This window comes from Homo sapiens, chromosome 3, assembly GCF_000001405.40.
Source record: "Homo sapiens chromosome 3, GRCh38.p14 Primary Assembly".
In the NCBI taxonomy this organism is placed as follows: Eukaryota; Metazoa; Chordata; class Mammalia; order Primates; family Hominidae; genus Homo; species Homo sapiens.
Window position 1 is genome coordinate 152,149,021 of NC_000003.12, and position 19,665 is coordinate 152,168,685.

General features: G+C 36.5%; 2 long non-coding RNA genes across 2 annotated transcripts in view; both read right to left on the reverse strand.

Annotated features, from left to right (window-relative positions):
* The window catches only part of LINC02917 (long intergenic non-protein coding RNA 2917), an 89,729-nt gene that overhangs the window by 33,322 nt on the left and 36,742 nt on the right, over positions 1-19,665 (reverse strand). Inside the window, exon 2 of the long non-coding RNA NR_186000.1 lies at positions 2,646-2,934. This is a non-coding gene — a long non-coding RNA (long intergenic non-protein coding RNA 2917). The remainder of the gene's footprint in view (positions 1-2,645; positions 2,935-19,665) is intronic.
* Positions 10,444-19,665, reverse strand: part of LOC101928166 (uncharacterized) — a 45,966-nt gene continuing 36,744 nt past the window's right edge. Inside the window, exon 3 of the long non-coding RNA NR_136178.1 lies at positions 10,444-10,600. This is a non-coding gene — a long non-coding RNA (uncharacterized LOC101928166). The remainder of the gene's footprint in view (positions 10,601-19,665) is intronic.

The window sequence follows — 19,665 nt, forward strand, 5'->3', positions numbered from 1 at the left end:
GTTTTTATGAAATTTTTGCTTTTCTTTAGCCCTCTAGGGTACATGAATGCAGTTTCCAATTGGGTGTGAGATACACTGCTAGTTGACCATGCAATATCCATTCAACCTTTCATCCTTATGAACAGAAGAGAAAATGGAGAAATTAACACAGAAAAGAAAAATGCATAGAAAGAATCAACAAAGCCAAAAACATATTACTATTTTTTTGGGAAAACTAGCAACTTTAACAAAGAAGAAAGAGAAAGAGAAGGAGGAGAAGGAAAGGGAGATCGAGGAGGTAGTGAGAAAAAGAGGTAGGGAAGCTTAAATAATTAACTTTAACAACAAAAGAGACATAACGGATGCAGAAATTTTTAAAGATAATATAAAGATGTTATGAAGAGCTTTATGCCAGTAAATTTGAAAACTTACATAAATTGGTCAAATTCCTGGGAACTGAATTAAAAAAGAAAGAAAATACCATAGTCCCATAACCATTAAAGTGTTTGAATCCCTAGTGAAAAATCTTCTGACAAAACAAAAACAAAACTAAAACAAATTCAGATATGGCTTTTCCAGCAAGTTCTACCAAACACTTTAAAAAAAGAATGAAAAAAAGAAAACCTACAATCTTAGACACACTGTGTCAAAGTATATAGAAAAGAAGGAAACATTTCAGTAAGGACAGCATGGGTTCAAGGAGACAGGAATTTAGCTCCACCTCTTGTGCAAAGAACAGTAAAAAATCCGTAGTTCATCTTTAATCTACCACAAAGTGGTTTTCTAAAGCATTGTTACAAGAAGGAGAGTCTTACTGGATCCTTTCACCTCTAAGAAAAAAAAAAAAAAAAGAGCAAAGTAGAAGTATGCTTATATACAGCAGTAGAAATTTAAACTTATGTATAATTTATTAATGGTGTTCTAAAATGAAATATTCAAACAATGAAATGACTAATATATAGATTATGGAGGGTAAGGGGCCAAACTACACATATATTGGAGGGAATTCACTCTCATTCTACATGTCTTAACTTGTACTGTCGTCATATGGATTCTTTCTGTGCTTTGCAATCTTTGCCTTTGCTAAGTTAGCAAATTCTTTTTAGGAAAAAAATGTGTGTATTTCCACATAAGAATACTTTTTATGTAAGTCTTTAACACATTTACATAGGTTTTTATTTTCTGTTTTAGAGATTGTTTTACACACAATAGACATTCAGTATTTGTTGAAATTAATGAAAGAATAGAGAAACATGAAAAGGGTCTGAGAAGACAATAATCTGCTTTGTAATTTATAGACAGCAATTAGGTCAAACAATTATAATAATGATGATGACAAAGAACAATATCTGAGGTACACGCAAAACCTGATGAGGGTTATTTGCCAGTTTTCCTGGCTATTTCTACACCCCTTGATCTCTAGTGAATGTTTCTACTTATAACTACACATTCTGTAAGCTTCACCTGCTGTATTTCAATCAACACTGTAAAAAATGAGGAGAGTCTTCTTGCTTCAAATTTGGTTTTTAGTTAATTACGTGATGTGTATATGATTTTCGTTACCTTTTCTGTATAGAAATCAGGAGAATCGAAAGTATGTTGATGGTGGAATTGTGGTATGACATTTTTACTGACTACTACTCATAAAAGTTTTATCTATGATCTCTATGGGTCGTTCCTGGCTTTTGAAAATTTATTTCAAGGAAGAGTTTTTGGAAATGAATTATAAGTATACAGTGTGCAATCTTATGTATTTGCAACTGTCTAAAATGTTATGATACCTTCCTTCCTCCTTGCAATCTGGCATTCATCCATTCAAGACATTTTAATTGAACTCTTACAATATTCTTAATACTATGATAAGCCTTGAAGGTAAACTGTGACTAAAAATGTTGCCAGATAAAATACAGGATTCCCAGTTAAATTTGAATTTTAGATAAACAGCATTCTTGTACTAAAAATTATTCTATGTTTATCTGAAATTCAAATTTAGCTGAGTGTCCTGTAATTTTTTGTTTACTTGTTTGTGATAAATACGGCAGCCCTAGTAAATACAGCCCCGATTTACTCTAACTTACTTTCCAGTTGGCAAGGAAGGCACTAATCAAATAATCCTCCAGATAAATGAAAAATTGCAACTGAGATAAGTATGAACAAGAATAAATTCAAAGCTGAAGAAGAAAAAAATAATTGGGAGATAAACCTGGTCAGAAAGGGGACTTCAAAGGAGACTTCTCTGTGGAAGGGTCGATGGATCCCAAATACAGCCGGGAAGGAAAGAGATGCTCTAGCACTTTTTCTTTAAATGACAGTTTTATATTCAACTTTAATGTTACAAGCAGTAGAAAGCCTAGCTGCTCACAAAGACGCAGAAAACATTCAAAGCCTTGTTTCAGGACCCACCCGCAGTCTTTCCAATTTGCCATCTGACTCATAATGAAGCCAGAGGCTGCAAGTTTTAGATGTATGCAAAAGTGGTACATTTCAATATTCAATTCCAATTAATGTGGACATTTTCTGGGGTCGGAGAAGGAAAGGTTATTTGTCCTATTAGGCCTCTGGCCCTTGCGCCTACCAGAAATGAGAGGAACCATGCCTGTTTTTAAATAGCAGGGAAAACTTTTTCAGCACAGGCTGGTGGGAAAGACGCAAATCTCTCTACTCACCTGGGAGTTGTCAGACAGGAGTGCTGAAAGTGACTACACCCTGCAGTGCCTCTGGCAGGATTAGGGCTCTCGAACTTTCCCAGTGGCCCAGCTTGTGATTCCTTCTTGCTTTCCAAATTTCCATATGCATGCAATATTTAAAAATGGTCTTGGACAGTTTGTATTAATTACTTAGCTTTTGAATATGCTCATTGTTTAACATCATTATAATAATAGTCCTACCTCAGGTTTATATGTTTATGCCCATATATTTGGGTTCCTTTAATTATCTTATTCATCTTTATGATGTCTGCAAAATAAAAGGGGAATGAGTGTTATTATACCAATTTTTATGGACACGGGAACCTGAGCATAGTCTCTACATGAGTTGCCAAAGTCATTTTTCTGACACAATCCACAACTGGACTGACTGCTTATCTAGACTCTTAGCTTTGTCTGGAGCTGTATCAAGTTAGTTAAAGGTGCAAAGTCCAAGTTTATTGACTGAAAAAAAAAACAAAAACAAAAATAAAAAAATCTTTAAAAGATAGCACTGACTGGCCGCGGTGGCTCACGCTTGTAATCCCAGTGAGAGGTGACAGCGTGCTGGCAGTTCTCACAGCCCTCACTCGCTCTCGGCGCCTCCTCTGCTTGGGCTCCCACTTTGGCGGCACTTGAGGAGCCCTTCAGCCCACCGCTGCACTGTGGGAGCCCCTTTCTAGGCTGGCCAAGGTCAGAGCCGGCTCCCTCAGCTTGCAGGGAGGTGTGGCGGGAGAGGCGCCAGCCGGAACCGGGGCTGCGCGCGGCGCTTGCGGGCCAGCTGGAGTTCCGGGTGGGCGTGGCCTTGGCGGGCCGCGCACTCTGAGCAGCCGGCCTGCCCTGCAGGCCACGGGCAATGAGGGGCTTAGCACCCGGGCCAGCGGCTGCGGAGGGTGTACTGGGTCACCCAGCAGTGCCAGCCCACCTGGCGCTGCGCTCAATTTCTCACTGGGCCTTAGCTGCCTTCCCGCGGGGCAGGACTCGGGACTTGCAGCCCGCCATGCCTGAGCCTCCCACCCCCTCCATGGGGCTCCTGGGCGGCCCGAGCCTCCCCGAGGAGCGCCACCCCCTGCTCCACGGCGCCCAGTCCCATCGACCACCCAAGGGCTGAGGAGTGCGGGCGCAAGGCACCTGGACTGGCAGGCAGCTCCACCTGCAGCCCCGGTAAGGGATCCACTGGGTGAAGCCAGCTGGGCTCCTGAGTCTGGTGGGGACGTGGAGAACCTTTATGTCTAGCTCAGGGATTGTAAATACACCAGTCAGCACCCTGTGTCTAGCTCAAGGTTTGTGAATGCACCAGTTGACACTCTGTATCTAGCTACTTTGGGGCCTTGGAGAACCTTTATGTCTGGCTCAGGGATTGTAAATACACCAATCGGCACTCTGTATCTAGCTCAAGGTTTGTAAACACACCAATCAGCAGCCTGTGTCTAGCTCAGGGTTTGTGAATGCACCAATTGACACTCTGTATCTAGCTACTCTGGTGGGGCCTTGGAGAACACTTTGTGTCCACACTCTGTATCTAGTTAATCTAGTGGGGATGTGGAGAACCTTTGTGTCTAGCTCAGGGATTGTAAACGCACCAATCAGCGCCCTGTCAAAACAGACCACTCAGCTTGCTGTAAAATGGACCAATCAGCAGGAGGTGGGTGGGGCCAGATAAGAGAATAAAAGCAGGCTGCCCGAGCCAGCAGTGGCAACCCGCTAGGGTCCCCTTGCACCCTGTGGGAGCTTTTTCTTTAACTCTTTGCAATAAATCTTGCTACTACTCACTTTTTAGGTCCCCACTGCTTTTATGAGCTGTAACACTTGCCGCCAAGGTCTGCAGCTTCACTCCTGAAGCCAGCGGGACCACGAGCCCACTGGGAGGAACGAACAACTCCAGAGGCCCTGCTTTAAGAGCTGTAACACTCCCCGCCAAGGTCTGCAGCTTCACTCCTGAGCCAGCGAGACCATGAACCCACCAGAAGGAAGAAACTCCCAACACATCCGAGCATCAGAAGGAACAAACTCCAGACGCGCCACTTAAGAGCTGTAACACTCACTGCGAGGGTCCGTGGCTTCATTTTTGAAGTCAGTGAGACCAAGAACCCACCAATTCCGGACACACCGGCACTTTGGGAGGCTGAAGCAGGAGGATCACGAGGTAAGGAGTTCGAGACCAGCCTGGCCAACACAGTGAAACCCTGTCTCTACTAAAAATACAAAAATTAGCTGGGCGTGGTGGTGGGTGCCTGTAATCCCTGCTACTCAGGAGGCTGAGGCAGGAGAATTGCTTGAACTTGGGAGGGGGAGGTTGCAGTGAGCCGAGATCATACCACCACACTCCTGCCTGGGCGACTGGGTGAGACTCCATCTCAAAAAGAAAAAGGAAGGAAAAGATAGTACTAAATATAGATAAAGAAGTCACAAAATATGCAACCAGTTAGATTAAACTCATCAAAAGTAAACTGACGCATAAAACTATTTTTTAAATCCCACCTATTAAATTGTGAAGTTATATGATTGCCATTATCATGGTAAACAGAATTATTATTAACTGCAACACTTTAGATCCCAGAGGTGGCATATGCTCTCAATTTTACCAATAAAAAAATCTGCAAGTGTGGAAATAAGTAGGTTTTTTCCTCCAAAGATTATTAAGTATTTTTGAATTATAATAGAACAGTGTATACCTTCACATTAACCCATGCCTGAGGAGACAGAAAATGAAAATAAGGTGTATCTTTAATATCTCAGCCTCTTTTTATAGTACTTTATTTCTGAATAACATTATTTTTTATAATTATATATATATTTTATTTTATGGTGGTTTAATTTATGTGCTTTTGGCTCAGAACTGATGTACATATCAAATGTATAAAAGATCTATGGATTTCATAGTTATATAATGCTGTATTTTTTTAAGCAAAGGCTTTATTTTTTCTAGGAAAATTTAGAAACAGTAATACATGTAGTCTTTCAAAAGAGCAAGATTTAATTTTTTCCATTTTTTAAAGGCTAGAGAATTTCCTCCTTATTACTGAAAACTCTACTATTGAAAGCTCCTCTTCATATGTAGGTTTCTATCTTGTTTCTGAGGAAAATAAACAGGTAATTTCAAAAAAGAATGATTATTTGCAGGGCACTGAACCTCAAAAATGATTTTACGCTTTCTAAAACTACCTGTGTTCTTCAATACTGCCCCAGACACTGGAGCAGAAGGAGCTCCAGGGCCTCCTCTGCAGTCAAAGCGACCCCACTTTTATCTGTACCAAGAAAGGTTTCAAATAAAAAGTGTTCCCCTAAAAGAAGCACCATTAAAAATTTCAGGGCAGAAGTATATCTCCCAGGTGTTATCAGATCATGTGTGTGACTTTTTCAATCTGCTCATGAGACAGGCCTACCAGACTTTGAAATTACTTCAAACTTGAGGATCCTTTTGATAATGAACACATCTGTGATTTATGAGAATGTGGTTGTACTTCATGGACTGCGATTTTTTTTAAGCATGGTATAGAGCTACTACCTACCATCTCTGCAGATTGTACAGAATTATCTGTGGCAGGATGCGGAAGATGCAGAGCACCTCAGCCCTAACTTTGTGACCAGCTAAAAGGGTTCCAGAAACTTTACATAAGCAATTCCAGTCAATCCTTGCTGTTATCCCGTAACATATTTTGGTAATAATCCTATTACTATTTTCAGACCCTTCTAGAATTAAATCACTTCTGTGACTGGATGGTCGTGGAATCTGTGATATTTAACACTACCTCTCTCTTCCTACCACTTAAACTCATTGCAAAGAACAGAAAAAGTGACTCAATTCTGAATAATTAGTTCTTTATAAGATATGCTGTCACATAGGAAGAATAATATTTTAGATGTTTTTACTAATTCATAAGACATTTCTAATAGGCAGCACTGCGGTAATATGCTTACTAAGTTCCAGTTTTGTTTGACCTGCCAGAAGTAAATTGTTCCTGTAAAGTTTTAATAATCCATGACATGTAACTCAGGATTTTTTCTAAAGGTTGTCATTATTAGCACTTATATAAATCCAGAAAACATTTTAATGTAAGTTAAGAGCCATTAGGACCTAGGAGGAAAAACGACTCTTAGGGCATTCCTGACATTCAGCGAGGATATTTTGAAACAATAATTCCTCCAGACTAACAGGCAGAACCCACTGCAGCCCTATGCTGTGGTGTCTGGAAAAATTCTTTTCATTAGTTCTGTAGATCACAACAGAAGGGGCCTTTCTCACACAGAGACATCTACTCAGCTTGCTTAGTTTTTGATCTCCTTTCTTCAATTCAGATGGATTTTGTAGGAACTTGCCATGTGTCACACTTTACCTTATAAACAGTAATGTATCTTTGGAACAACTCCAAAGAAACTATGAGAACATGTGAAATAGACTAGAGTTTATTTCAAGAAAGGTGCTTTGTAATTATGAAGTGTTATGATATGTTGTATGCTATAAACATCTGAACACATTCTGAAGTTGTAGATGTTCATTTCTTTGGAGTGTGAGACTGCCATACTCACCTTAATAACTCATAATAATCCTGTAGATATTAATATTTACCCTATTCCATTGACTATTATTTTCATTGAAGGTGTGTTTTCAGTCCGAGAAAAAAATAAAAATGACAAACCAGACATTCCCATTTTACATAAAATCATGGTGTTAAAATGAATCAACCATAGAAAGATATTATTTATAAAACCTCTGAATTGTTCTAGATAGAGAGATCCAAAAAGAAAAATCAGACAAGTCATGAAAATAACACTCAACTAATATTCTAAGGCCCAAAGAGAATTGACTTGGGTGATTTAGGGTGCTCTATATTACATTTCTGTATCTGTTGGATTTAGGTTTTTTGCCAAAAGTATCTATTAGAGGCAACTCTTGTGATTTCTTAGTTTTAGTGACTTGGGAATAGGAAAGTAGTAGAAGTAGTGGGAGATAATGTCAGCCTTGGTTAAAAATTCTAAAATCTAATAAATGGAAACAAAGCAGTTTTTGAAAATTATGCCTAAGGCCAATTTTTTTATTATGAATGAAATAAGTAACTTCAGTGAAAGTTTTGTAAAGTATTCAAAATGTTTTCTTGATGTAGTTAGCTTCTTGAGAATTTATGTATTTATTGTTGTTGTTATTTTACTCTATTTTTTGATTGCTGGTTTGTTTGTTTCCTTTGAATCAAGATTATATGCTGAATCTCAATGATGGTAAGCCATGAGATTTAGAGAGCTGTACCACGAGCAATCTGATTTACCCAGTTTCCAGAATGTTTGCCTGTTTGCAGCAGTCTGCCTCAATACTGAAGTTTAGCATACTTGAAAATTGCAAACCTTTAGCTAAAAATAACCATTACACATTCTCACGTTGAAAGGTAAGCCTGGGTATTGAAACAGTCATTAGTGTAGAGAAGGGGTGCCTCAAAAATACTCAAACAGCCCTTTCAAACAGTCCATTATTTCTAACTTTTCTATTCCTGTCATCACTACCAGTATCTCCCAGATGACAGAGCTTATAATGCAAAGGGTTAATTCCCTACGTTGCTTGGTCTCCTAAGCAATCAGTTACTTTTCTTTTTTAGTTGTTTCCAAATTAGCCTAATCTTTATCACTTCTTTTTCATAATATTGTAATAGACTAATTGTGTTCCCTGTCTATCTCTTTTGACCAAAGGGAAAAGTTTTGCTTGCTGATGTTACAGTGATAAGAAAGGAAAGAAAGAAAAAGAGAGAAAGAAAGGAAGGAAGGAAGGGAAAGAAAGAAAGGAAAGAAAGAAAGAAAGAAGAAAGAAAAAGAAGGAAGAAAGGAAGGAAGGAAGAAAGAGAGAGAGAAGGAGGAAAGAGAGAAAGAGAAAATGTTGTTTGAGGTCCTAATAAAGTCCTCAGTCTAGTATTCATACATTTTATCTCTCCAAGCCTGACTCTGTGATCTTTACAGCTGTCATACCTCCTCATCTTACACTCATTTCTGTTTTTTCTTGCTTTTGTTCTTACCTTCTACACCTTTGAATGTTCAGCTTCTCTCTGTAATCAAAATTCTAAAATGCTAAGGTTCAAGTAGAGTTAAACTTTTCCCCGAAGCCTTCTTCAAAAATTTACCCTCAAGAATCTTTTCTGTACTATTTCCAGGACATTTTATGACATGGATAGTGTCAATATACCTCATATTTACTAGTTTTCTGTATTTAAGTTAAATTAGGGATAAGCTGATTCTTATATGTTTTTCTATTCCACAAATTAGTTTTCTAAATTACAGTTTATGACTCATTTATAAAATCAATTTAGTTCACCAAGAAGTTTATTTTTTCCAATGAAATAGATATGAATAGAAAATACCAGAGAGTGGTACATGGAGTAAAGATGAATATTGATTTGTAACTCTTTTGTTTTTGTTTTTTTCTTGTATGTGTATGCACACTCTTCTGTTTTGCATCCCGATGTACAAATGTATTTTTTTTACCATGAATCATGGTCGTAAATATTTTTTAAACTTTACGAAAATTATGTCTGTACTCACTCATTCATATGTACAGTTATTCATGCATTCAACATGTTGAGTATGCTGGAAAAATAAAACATAATAAAATAGTCTCTATCTTGGAGGACCTAGGATTCTCTTAGGATAGATTGATAGGTACACAAACAATTGGAGATGATGTGCCTAAATTCTGATATGCAGAGAACAGATAATTCTCTGGGAAGATGAAAGAAGTAATAGCAGTTTCTTAAGTGTCTCTTGTTGGCACTTATTCTTCATTTTCCTAGTCAGAAATCAGCATGCTACATTTTAATTTAAATACTGTAAAGATATTTGTTTAATGCCTAGTTTCTTCTCTTTTAAATGAATTATATGGTTATTGACAAGTAATGAAGTTTAAATGAATTATATGGTTATTGACAAGTAACAAAGCTATCATATAATATAAAATTCTGTTTGGGCAGGTTGCAAAAATAATAAAGCCTCTTCAACAGGCTTGAACTATTTTTTTTAAATGATAGATTCATACTTCAGACAAGCTGTATCTACTTAAAGGAAGAAGTTTCTGTGGAAAAAAATTGGCCTTCGTAAAGTTCCTCTTTACACAAAATAAGAAAACTAACTCATAGTAAATCACCTGTCTTATTCTTTCCTCATATTATTAAAATAATATGCAAGTATGTTGCAATATAATATAAAATTTCAACAGTAGTATACATGTGAAATGCCATATTGATGCCTAAAAATCATATAAATCAATAAAAAATATTTGATAAGCACAACAGATTTAAAATAATTTAGACTGACATTCTATTTTAATTTTTTCTTTCCCAAAATTCAGTGCTCTTTCGTTTGATTGGGTCTACATTAAGAGCCAAATAAAGAAACGTTTGTATAAAAGGATTTTTAAAACACTTGAGAGTCTCTTTGACATAGCAAACATTAGAATCACAATCAAATTAAAAAAGAAAACAGTGGATTGCCATTCTGCAAATGTAACCAAAACATGCTACTGATTTCTAAATAGAGTGCTTTCTTGAAACCTGAAGAAACACACCTCAGATGTGTAACCTATCTGCTCCTCTGAATTCTTAGTACATGCATTTTAAATAAGTGGTATTTTATTCTTTATCCAGCCCTAATTAATTTATGTCATTATTCTTCATTTGAAGTTCATTCGAAGTTTTTACATATCCTAGTTTCAATACGTGATTTTAAAGTTAAGGAGCTTCTCCAAACAGTTAAGTGCATACCCACACTGTCTTTCTCCACATGTTACATTAACTGGAGCTCTTTTCTATGTTGTGCTGCATGGCGCTTTTTGTGCAACGCATTTCCAATGGCTTAATCACTCTATAAAGTCATGAGGAACTGTTTGCTTTATTTTGAGGAATCATGCTTCAGAGTCCAAGCCACTGGAGTTTATGCCCATATTAGGAGGTTGATTGAATAACCTTAAAAAAAAAAAAAGAATTCTCCATTTTATTTAGCTTTCTGAAACAGCTTGAAATTTTATTAAATTTTCAGTACATCATGTTTAAGCTAATAATAGGTATAAGCTCCAGGAATGAAACTCCAGTTCATTAGTTTTTCTTTCAAACAATCTAGTTTTATTTTCTAAGAAGTCCTGAGTTTCTCATAATTAATATTATATGTGTGTGAGTGTGTGTGCTATAGAATTATGATAATTTTTATATGATTGACATAAACTGATTTTACAGATTGAAAATATTTACTTCCTTGAGAATTACTTCCTTGGAGATTGTGTAGCATTTTTCAATGTAATTGATCTGTCTTAATTCTTATATCTCCTCTGGCATACAATATATTGTTAGTTCATCCAGATCAAGACATGATAGCTAACAACTGTATAGAGTTTTATACTTTCTTTTTTTCTTATTTATTTTATTTATTTTTTATTATTGAGTTTTATACTTTCAAAGGCTTATCTCATACACTAATAGATTTTGTGATGTCCTATTAACCACATGAAGAACACAAAGCATGAAATATTTTTGTTGCCAATTTATAGATGAGAAAACTGAGGCCCAAAGAGGTCTTCTGACTCCAAATTCCATATTCTGCATATATATATATAACCTGAGTATATAAAATAGTGAAAAGTCAGAATTCTTAGAATTGCCCATGATTACTGTCAATATGTTGAGATTCCTCTTTTGAAAGTTCCATAAACTCAATCTCTGTTTTTAGAGCTAACCCCTCTCTTCTCCTTTACCTCTCCACTCCTGCTTAGGCTGCCTGTCTTCGTGCTGCTCAGCCCTGAATCCTGTTTCAGTAGACTTTGGGAACTCAGAGTAGGGAAAAACTCTGCAAAACTCAGTGTCAATCTGAAACCCGGAGTGAAAATCTAGTCAGGGAATGAATTATCTAGAAACTAAAAATTCTAGGGACTGCACTAGGTGCTTTCCATCTGGTAATTCTTTTATTACATATAACAATCTATGACAGGTATTTTCAGCCCCACTTTAGGATGAGCTTAGATATAGAAATGTTAAATGACCTGTCAAAATTCCCTTGATATACAGGGAGGATTCTAGGATTCACCTCAAGGTCCATGTGACCTTTAAAACTTAGGATCATTTCACTACATCATTCTCTCAGAACATGCATGCAAGAGTGCTTGTTCTCACAAGTGGGGTTTCTGAAGACGGTTTAGCCTTTTCTTAAGTTGTTGTTTTGTTGACCTTTGTTCAAGAGCATAAAAACATTCAGCTTTTTTTTAAAGCAAAAAGTTTACGTCTGCTATTATTTTCACTTACGTAACTGGAAGACCTGACATATACAATGAGCTTTAGAAATTCATCACTCAGACCATAAGAAAGGATTTGCTCTGAGAAGCTGTGCAAACTGTGGTTATCAAAGAGGATTGGATTGAAATCAAAAGCAATTTGTATTACAACTGTCAAAAAAAGTCCAGGTTAAGCTGCATTACATGATATTGGCTTATAGATTAGCTATACTCCATAGATGACATATTTAATTCATGACAGTGTTTGCAGCCCCTAAAGTAAGAAAAGAGCATGCAAAACATAAACTCCTGGATAAGGACAATCAGGGAAATGGGAAGGCAGAGTAGAAAATGCTTGTTAAAAATTTTCAATAAGTATCTGTCTTTTGAAAAAGTTTTTCAAAATTTCACACAATTAAAGCCACCTAAATTATTATTTAATTATATTTAATTTTTAATGCCCTAAATATATAATTCATCTTTTTTTAAAGCAAATTATCTCATTAATCTAAGAACACTCTTTAACTCCTATGTTTGTTTGGTTTTCAGTCAGATATGTTCAATTCCAAAACAATTCAGAGTAATTTTGATATAGACGAGTGTAAAGTCAAGGAGATGGACTTGTCTATAACTAGTCGTGTTCACAAAATAAATCAACATTCCCAAGTTTACAGAGACGCATATACAAGTAATTCTTACCTTAAGAAAATCAAATGTATAAATGTTTGATTTATGAAACAGACAAATCATGCCTTATGTTCACTATAGAAGGATCTATTGCTACTCTTTGTAACACAGATAACACAGATTTCAGTTATCAAGACAACAGAGATACTTACAATGAAAATTCCCAGGTTCTAGTGAATTTTTTTTTGAAGAACATATATTCTTGATTATTGACTGCATTTTCTAGTTGTTTTAAATGAATTCTCTTCTATCCTTCTCCCCCAAAAAGTCATACTCCTACCTAAAGTTCTAAGTAAATTTGGAAGATATTTTTGCATATGTGGCATTAAAATATGCACTGATTCTTCAAACTTAAAGTATCAGAGAAAATGTTCTTTTCCACAGAACAATAAAACCAAAGAACGGGCTACTTTGGGTACCAATCTTTAAAATGCATGTAACTTTTATAGGAGCCAAGAGGAATTTTCCTGGGTCAGGCTGTTCCTCTCAGTTAATTGCCTTGGAATTATGACCCTTCTTTTCCCTGCAGTGTAGAAATATTAACCCTTGCAATGACACGCTCATAAGCCAATTAATAACAACATCCTGACTCTTTGTGTTTTGTGATTAACCTTCACAAACCTAAAGGGGTTGAAAAATCTTTGAGATAAAGTAGTTTCCATCAAACATCTTAATCTACTGACAAATGGGACTAAAAATAACTCTGGCATAAAAGTTTTGGGGGGAAAGCCAAATAGAATCTGTTCACTAACTACTACAGATCCCCTCCAAAAGACAATACACTTCCATGCAGGACACAACCAGACCATTAAAATTACTGGTAAGGGATGGGTGTTGTGGCTCAGCCTATAATCCCCGCACTTTGAGAGGCCGAAGTGGGCGTATCACCTGAGGTCAGGAGTTCGAGACCAGCCTGGCCAAAATGGCAAATCCCTGTCTCTACTAAAAATACAAAATTAGACAGGCGTGGTGGGAGGCACCTGTAATCCCAGCTATTGGGGAGGCTGAGGCAGGAGAATTGCTTGAACTCGGGAGGCAGATATTGCAGTGAGCCGAGATCACCCCATTGCACTCCAGCCTCGGTGACAAAGTGAGACTCTGTCTCAAAAAAAAAAAAAAAAACTTAAAAATTTTGCCATAAACTGAGAAAATCATTTAAATATTCTAATTATAAAACTATCAAAGCATTTTTTCTATCTTTAGGTTTATTTGTAGATAAAATATGATTATAATGGTTTGGTGCCAAAAATCTCATAGCAAAAGATTATAAAGAATTTCTATGCAGATAAAAAAACATAATGATCATTTTTTTCATTATTTTTGAATTGACAGTTTCAAAAACAATGTTGAGAAAATCAGTGTAAGGCTTGGTAAAAAAAAAAAGTTAGACTCCTGCCTCACACAAGATGTATTTTTTAAATCCAAATGGATAAAAGGGTTAAATGTTAAAACAAAATAAAAGATACATGCTATCAACTATAAAAGTATTAAAATGAACTATAGGTACACATGTCTATAACTATGACTGAGGAAGGCTTGAAAACATAAATACCAGAATTCATCATAAATATTTATCATAAATTCATCATAAACTATAAAAAGTTTGCTTTGAATAATGATTCCTTAAGCAAAATTAAGACAAATTATAAATTGGGAAACAATATGTAAAGCAAACATAAGAAAGGATAAATACTCATAATATATGAGAGCTCCTATGAATCAATATTATATAAAATAACAAAAAATAGAAAAATTTCAAAAGAACAAAAAAATGCAAATTGCCAATAAATGTGTGAAAAGATGTTTAACCTCTTTGATAATGATGGGGATAAAAATTAAAATAATGTCATATATTTTTTGTTCCCACTAGATTAGCAACATATAAAGCTGATAATATCCAACATTGGAGAGAAAAATGGACACTCTTATAAACTGTTGGTGGGAGTATCATTTGGTAATACCTTTTTAGAAGGCAATTTAGGCCAGGTGTGGTGGCTCAGGCCTTCAATCCCAGCACTTCGGGAGGCGAAGGTGGGAGGATAGCTTGAGCCTAGGAATTTGAGACCAACCTGGGCAACATAGTGAGACCTCATTTCTATATAAAAAAAGGTTTTTTTAAAAAAATTAGCCACAAATGGTGGCATCTGCCTGTAGTCCCAGCTGCTTGGGAGGCTGAGGTGGGAGGACCTCTTGAGCCCAGGAGTTCAAGAGACCTTGTCTCCAAAAATAAAAAATAAAAATTTAAAAATAATGTAACTTACCTAGAACATTGGACTTAAATTTAAGACCTGAAACTATGCACTTCAAAGAAAACATAGAAAAACATTTGCCTTTATGTATTTGGCAATGTATTTTTAAATAGAACACAAAGACAAGTAACAAAAGGAAAAATAAATTGGACTTGATGAAAATTTAAAACTTTTGTTCATCAAAGGACACTATTGGCCAGGTGTGGTGGCTCACGCCTGTAGTACCAGCTACTCGGGAGGCTGAGGCAGGAGAATGGCGTGAACCCAGAAGGCAGAGCTTGGAGTGAGCTGAGATCGTACCACTGCACTCCAGCCTGGGCAATAGAGCAAGACTCTGTCTCAAAAAAAAAAAAAAAAAAAGAAAGAAAACAATGAGCTATCACTAGACACTTATTAGAATGATGAAAATCCAAAACCCTGACAACACCAAATGTTTGCAAGGATGTGGAGCAACAGGAACTCTTATTCATTGCTGATGGGAATGCAAAATGGTACAACTACTTTGGAAGACATTTTGAGAGGTTTTTACAAAACTAAACATAGGCTTAACACAAAATCCAGCAGTTGCACTCCTAGGTATTTACAAAAATGAGTTGAAAACTTCACAGAAACCTGTATGCAAACTTTTATAGGAATTTTATTCACCAAAAGCAGAGCAAAACCAAGTGTTTCTTGAATAGATGATTAAACAAACTTGACATACTGTGCAATGAAATTTATTCAGCAATGAAAAGCAATGAGCTATCAAGCCATGGAAAGATATAAATGAAACTTAAATGCATATTGCATATTATTATTCCAATTATATGAAAGTCTAAAAAAGCAAAACTGTAGCAGTGGTAATCAGATCAGTGGTTACCAGATGTTCAGTAGGTGGTGGAGAAGGACTAGCTAAATATATAAAACACAGGGGAATTTTTAGGGTGGTGAAAATATTTTGTATAATACAGTAGTGGTGAATGCAAGATATTAAGCATTATCAAAATCCATAGGATTTTATGGCAAAATATAAACCTTAACAGGTACAAATTTAAAAAAAATTAGTTTGGAGAATACAAGGATGGAATGCAGAAAGTGACAAGTCTAAGTATATGACAAGTTTATAAAACAACTTCACTGAAGGTGGTTAGGGAATAAGGTGCTGACCCACTTAACATTGGGAATGAGTGTAATCTGTAAAGTTAAAGGGAAATAAATTGTATGTACACTGTACTGTAGCTGATAAAGTTGTTTCCCTTAATGGTACAGATTAGCAATTTTGAAGTCACTAAACATACATACTAGAATTGAACAATTAGGCAAATTGATGGCAAATGGTTGGAATCAGACTTCTTGCTGCTAAAATGAAAGGCTCAAATAAGCAAGGGAAGAAGACTAGAAGGATCCATATGGTAATGGATTAGAGTTGGATACATCAATAAGAACTTATATTTAGTTTGCTATATCTGCTGATGTTTACCTGTAGAAATATTTATAGATTGATAGATAGAATTTTTTTTTTTTGAGACGGAGTCTCGCTCTGTTGCCCAGGCTGGAGTGCAGTGGTGCGATCTCGGCTCTGTAGATGGATTCATATATATACATATTTCTCCTTGATCTGTCTGCTGAAAGAACCTGGAAACAATGGCACTTTAATTGCAAAGAGCACACGTAGTGCTCAGATCTTGGTTTTTAATACCATTAGAAAAGTGTAAAAGAAACCAAGGCTCCTTGGAGAATTGGCTGAATCTAGGAACAGTGCATGACATAGACAAGATAGGTCCATACTGATATACATAAATGATTAAATAAATAAATAAATGGGGGAGAAGTGACAGGTCTCCTATGGTGAAGAATTTTTAATACCTTACAGATACACCACCTTAAGAACGCAGAGTGTAACTTTCCACTCCTTTAGTGTGAACTATATACATGGTGGCTATAAAGAGGATTATATAAAAAGAGAAAAAGGAATAACTATATAGTGGAGAAACCTGACATACCTCAAGCCCAGTGATAAAGGTTAACATCAAGAGTGGCAAGTCATACTGATAGTATGCATGCTTAAAGTATATTGTGAGAATGACATTATATCTTAGTGGGATTCCTCTCAAAAATAATTACCATAATTTAATTATGAGAAAAACATCAGACAAATCCCAAGTGGGAGACAGTCTATGAAATACCTGACCAATAATTGGCAACACTGTGAAAGCCACCTAAAACAAAAAAAAGTCTGAGAAACTGAAAGCCAAAGGAGCCTAAGGAGAAATGACTATTAAATTTAATGTGATATCCTGAATGGTATGCTGGAACAAAAAAAAAAAAGGCATATTAGGGCACAGTTTAAAAAGAAAAGAAAAGACAAACCACAGACTGAGAGAAAATAGCTGCAAAACGTGTCTGGTAAGGGACTAGTATCTAAAATACACAAATAACTCTTAAAAGACAGTGATAAAAGCAAAAACTGGATGTGGATACACTGGTACTCTCTTTACTATCTTTGCAATACTTCTATAAATCTAAAATTCTCGTTAGTTGATGTAGTTTCTTCCTAGCCTCGATGGTCTTTACAATTTGGCATGTTTTTGCAGTGGCTGGTACCGGTTGTCCCTTTCCATGTTTAGTGATTCCTTCAGGAGCTCTTTTAGGGCAGGCCTGGTGGTGACAAAATCTCTCAACATTTGCTTGTCTGTAAAGGATTTTATTTCTCCTTCACTTATGAGGCTTAGTTTGGCTGGATATGAAATTCTGGGTTGAAAATTCTTTTCTTTAAGAATGTTGAATATTGGCCCCCACTCTCTTTTGGCTTATAGAGTTTCTGCCGAGAGATCAGCTGTTAGTCTGATGGGCTTCCCTTTGTGGGTAACACCACCCTTCTCTCTGGCTGCCCTTAATATTTTTTCCTTCATTTCAACTTTCATGAATCTGACAATTATGTGTCTTGGAGTTGCTCTTCTCGAGGAGTATCTTTGTGGTGGTCTCTGTATTTCCTGAATTTGAATGTTGGCCTGCCTTGCTAGATTTGGGAAGTTCTCCTGGATACTATCGTGCAGAGTGTTTTCCAACTTGGTTCCATTCTCCCCGTCACTTTCAGGTAGATGACTTGACTGTATATCTAGAAAACCCCATTGTCTCAGCCCAAAATCTCCTTAAGCTGATAGACAACTTCAGCAAAGTCTCAGGATACAAAATCAATGAGGAAAAATCACAAGCATTCTTATACACCAATAACAGACAAACAGAGAGCCAAATCATGAGTGAACTCCCATTCACAATTGCTTCAAAGAGAATAAAATACCTAGGAATCCAACTTACAAGGGATATGAAGGACCTCTTCAAGAAGAACTACAAACCACTGCTCAATGAAATAAGAGGATACAAACAAATGGAAGAACATTCCATGCTCATGGGTAGGAAGAATCAATATTGTGAAAATGGCCATACTGCCCAAAGTAATTTATCGATTCAATGCCATCCCCATTAAGCTACCAATGAATTTCTTCACAGAATTGGAAAAAACTACTCTAAAGTTCATATGGAACCAAAAAAGAGCCCGCATTGCCTAGTCAATCCTAAGCCAAAAGAACAAAGCTGGAGGCATCATGCTACCTGACTTCAAACTATACTACAAGGCTACAGTAACCAAAACAGCATGGTACTGGTACCAAAACAGACATATAGATCAATGGAACAGAACAGAGCCCTCAGAAGTAACGCCGCATATCTACAACTATCTGATCTTTGACAAACCTGAGAAAAACAAGCAATGGGGAAAGGATTCCCTATTTAATAAATGGTGCTGGGAAAACTGGCTAGCCATATGTAGAAAGCTGAAACTGGATCCCTTCCTTACACCTTATACAAAAATTAATTCAAGATGGATTAAAGACTTAAACGTTAGACCTAAAACCATAAAAACCCTAGAAGAAAACCTAGGCAGTACCACTCAGGACATAGGCATGGGCAAGGACTTCATGTCTAAAACACCAAAAGCAATGGCAACAAAAGCCAAAAATGACAAATGGGATCTAATTAAACTAACAAGTTTCTGCACAGCAAAAGAAACTACCATCAGAGTGAACAGGCAACCTACAGAATGGGAGAAAATTTTTGCAATCTACTCATCTGACAAAGGGCTAATATCCAGAATCTACAATGAACTCAAACAAATTTACAAGAAACAAACAACCCCATCAAAAAATGGGCAAAAGATATGAACAGACGCTTCTCAAAAGAAGACATTTATGCAGCCAACAGACACATGAAAAAATGCTCATCATCACTAGCCATCAGAGAAATGCAAATCAAAACCACAATGAGATACCATCTCACACCAGTTAGAATGGCAATCATTAAAAAGTCAGGAAACAACAGGTGCTGGAGAGGATGTGGAGAAATAGGAACACTTTTACACTGTTGGTGGGACTGTAAACTAGTTCAACCATTGTGGAAGTCAGTGTGGTGATTCCTCAGGGATCTAGAACTGGAAATACCATTTGACCCAGCCATCCCATTACTGGGTATATACCCAAAGGATTATAAATCATGCTGCTATAAAGACACATGCACACGTATGTTTATTGTGGCACTATTCACAATAGCAAAGACTTGGAACCAACCCAAATGTCCAATAATGATAGACTGGATTAAGAAAATGTGGCACATATACACCATGGAATACTATGCATCCATAAAACATGATGAGTTCATATCCTTTGTAGGGACATGGATGAAGCTGGAAACCATCATTCTCAGCAAACTATCACAGGGACAAAAAACCAAACACTGCATGTTCTCACTCATAGGTGGGAATTGAACAATGAGAACACATGGACACAGGAAGGGGAACATC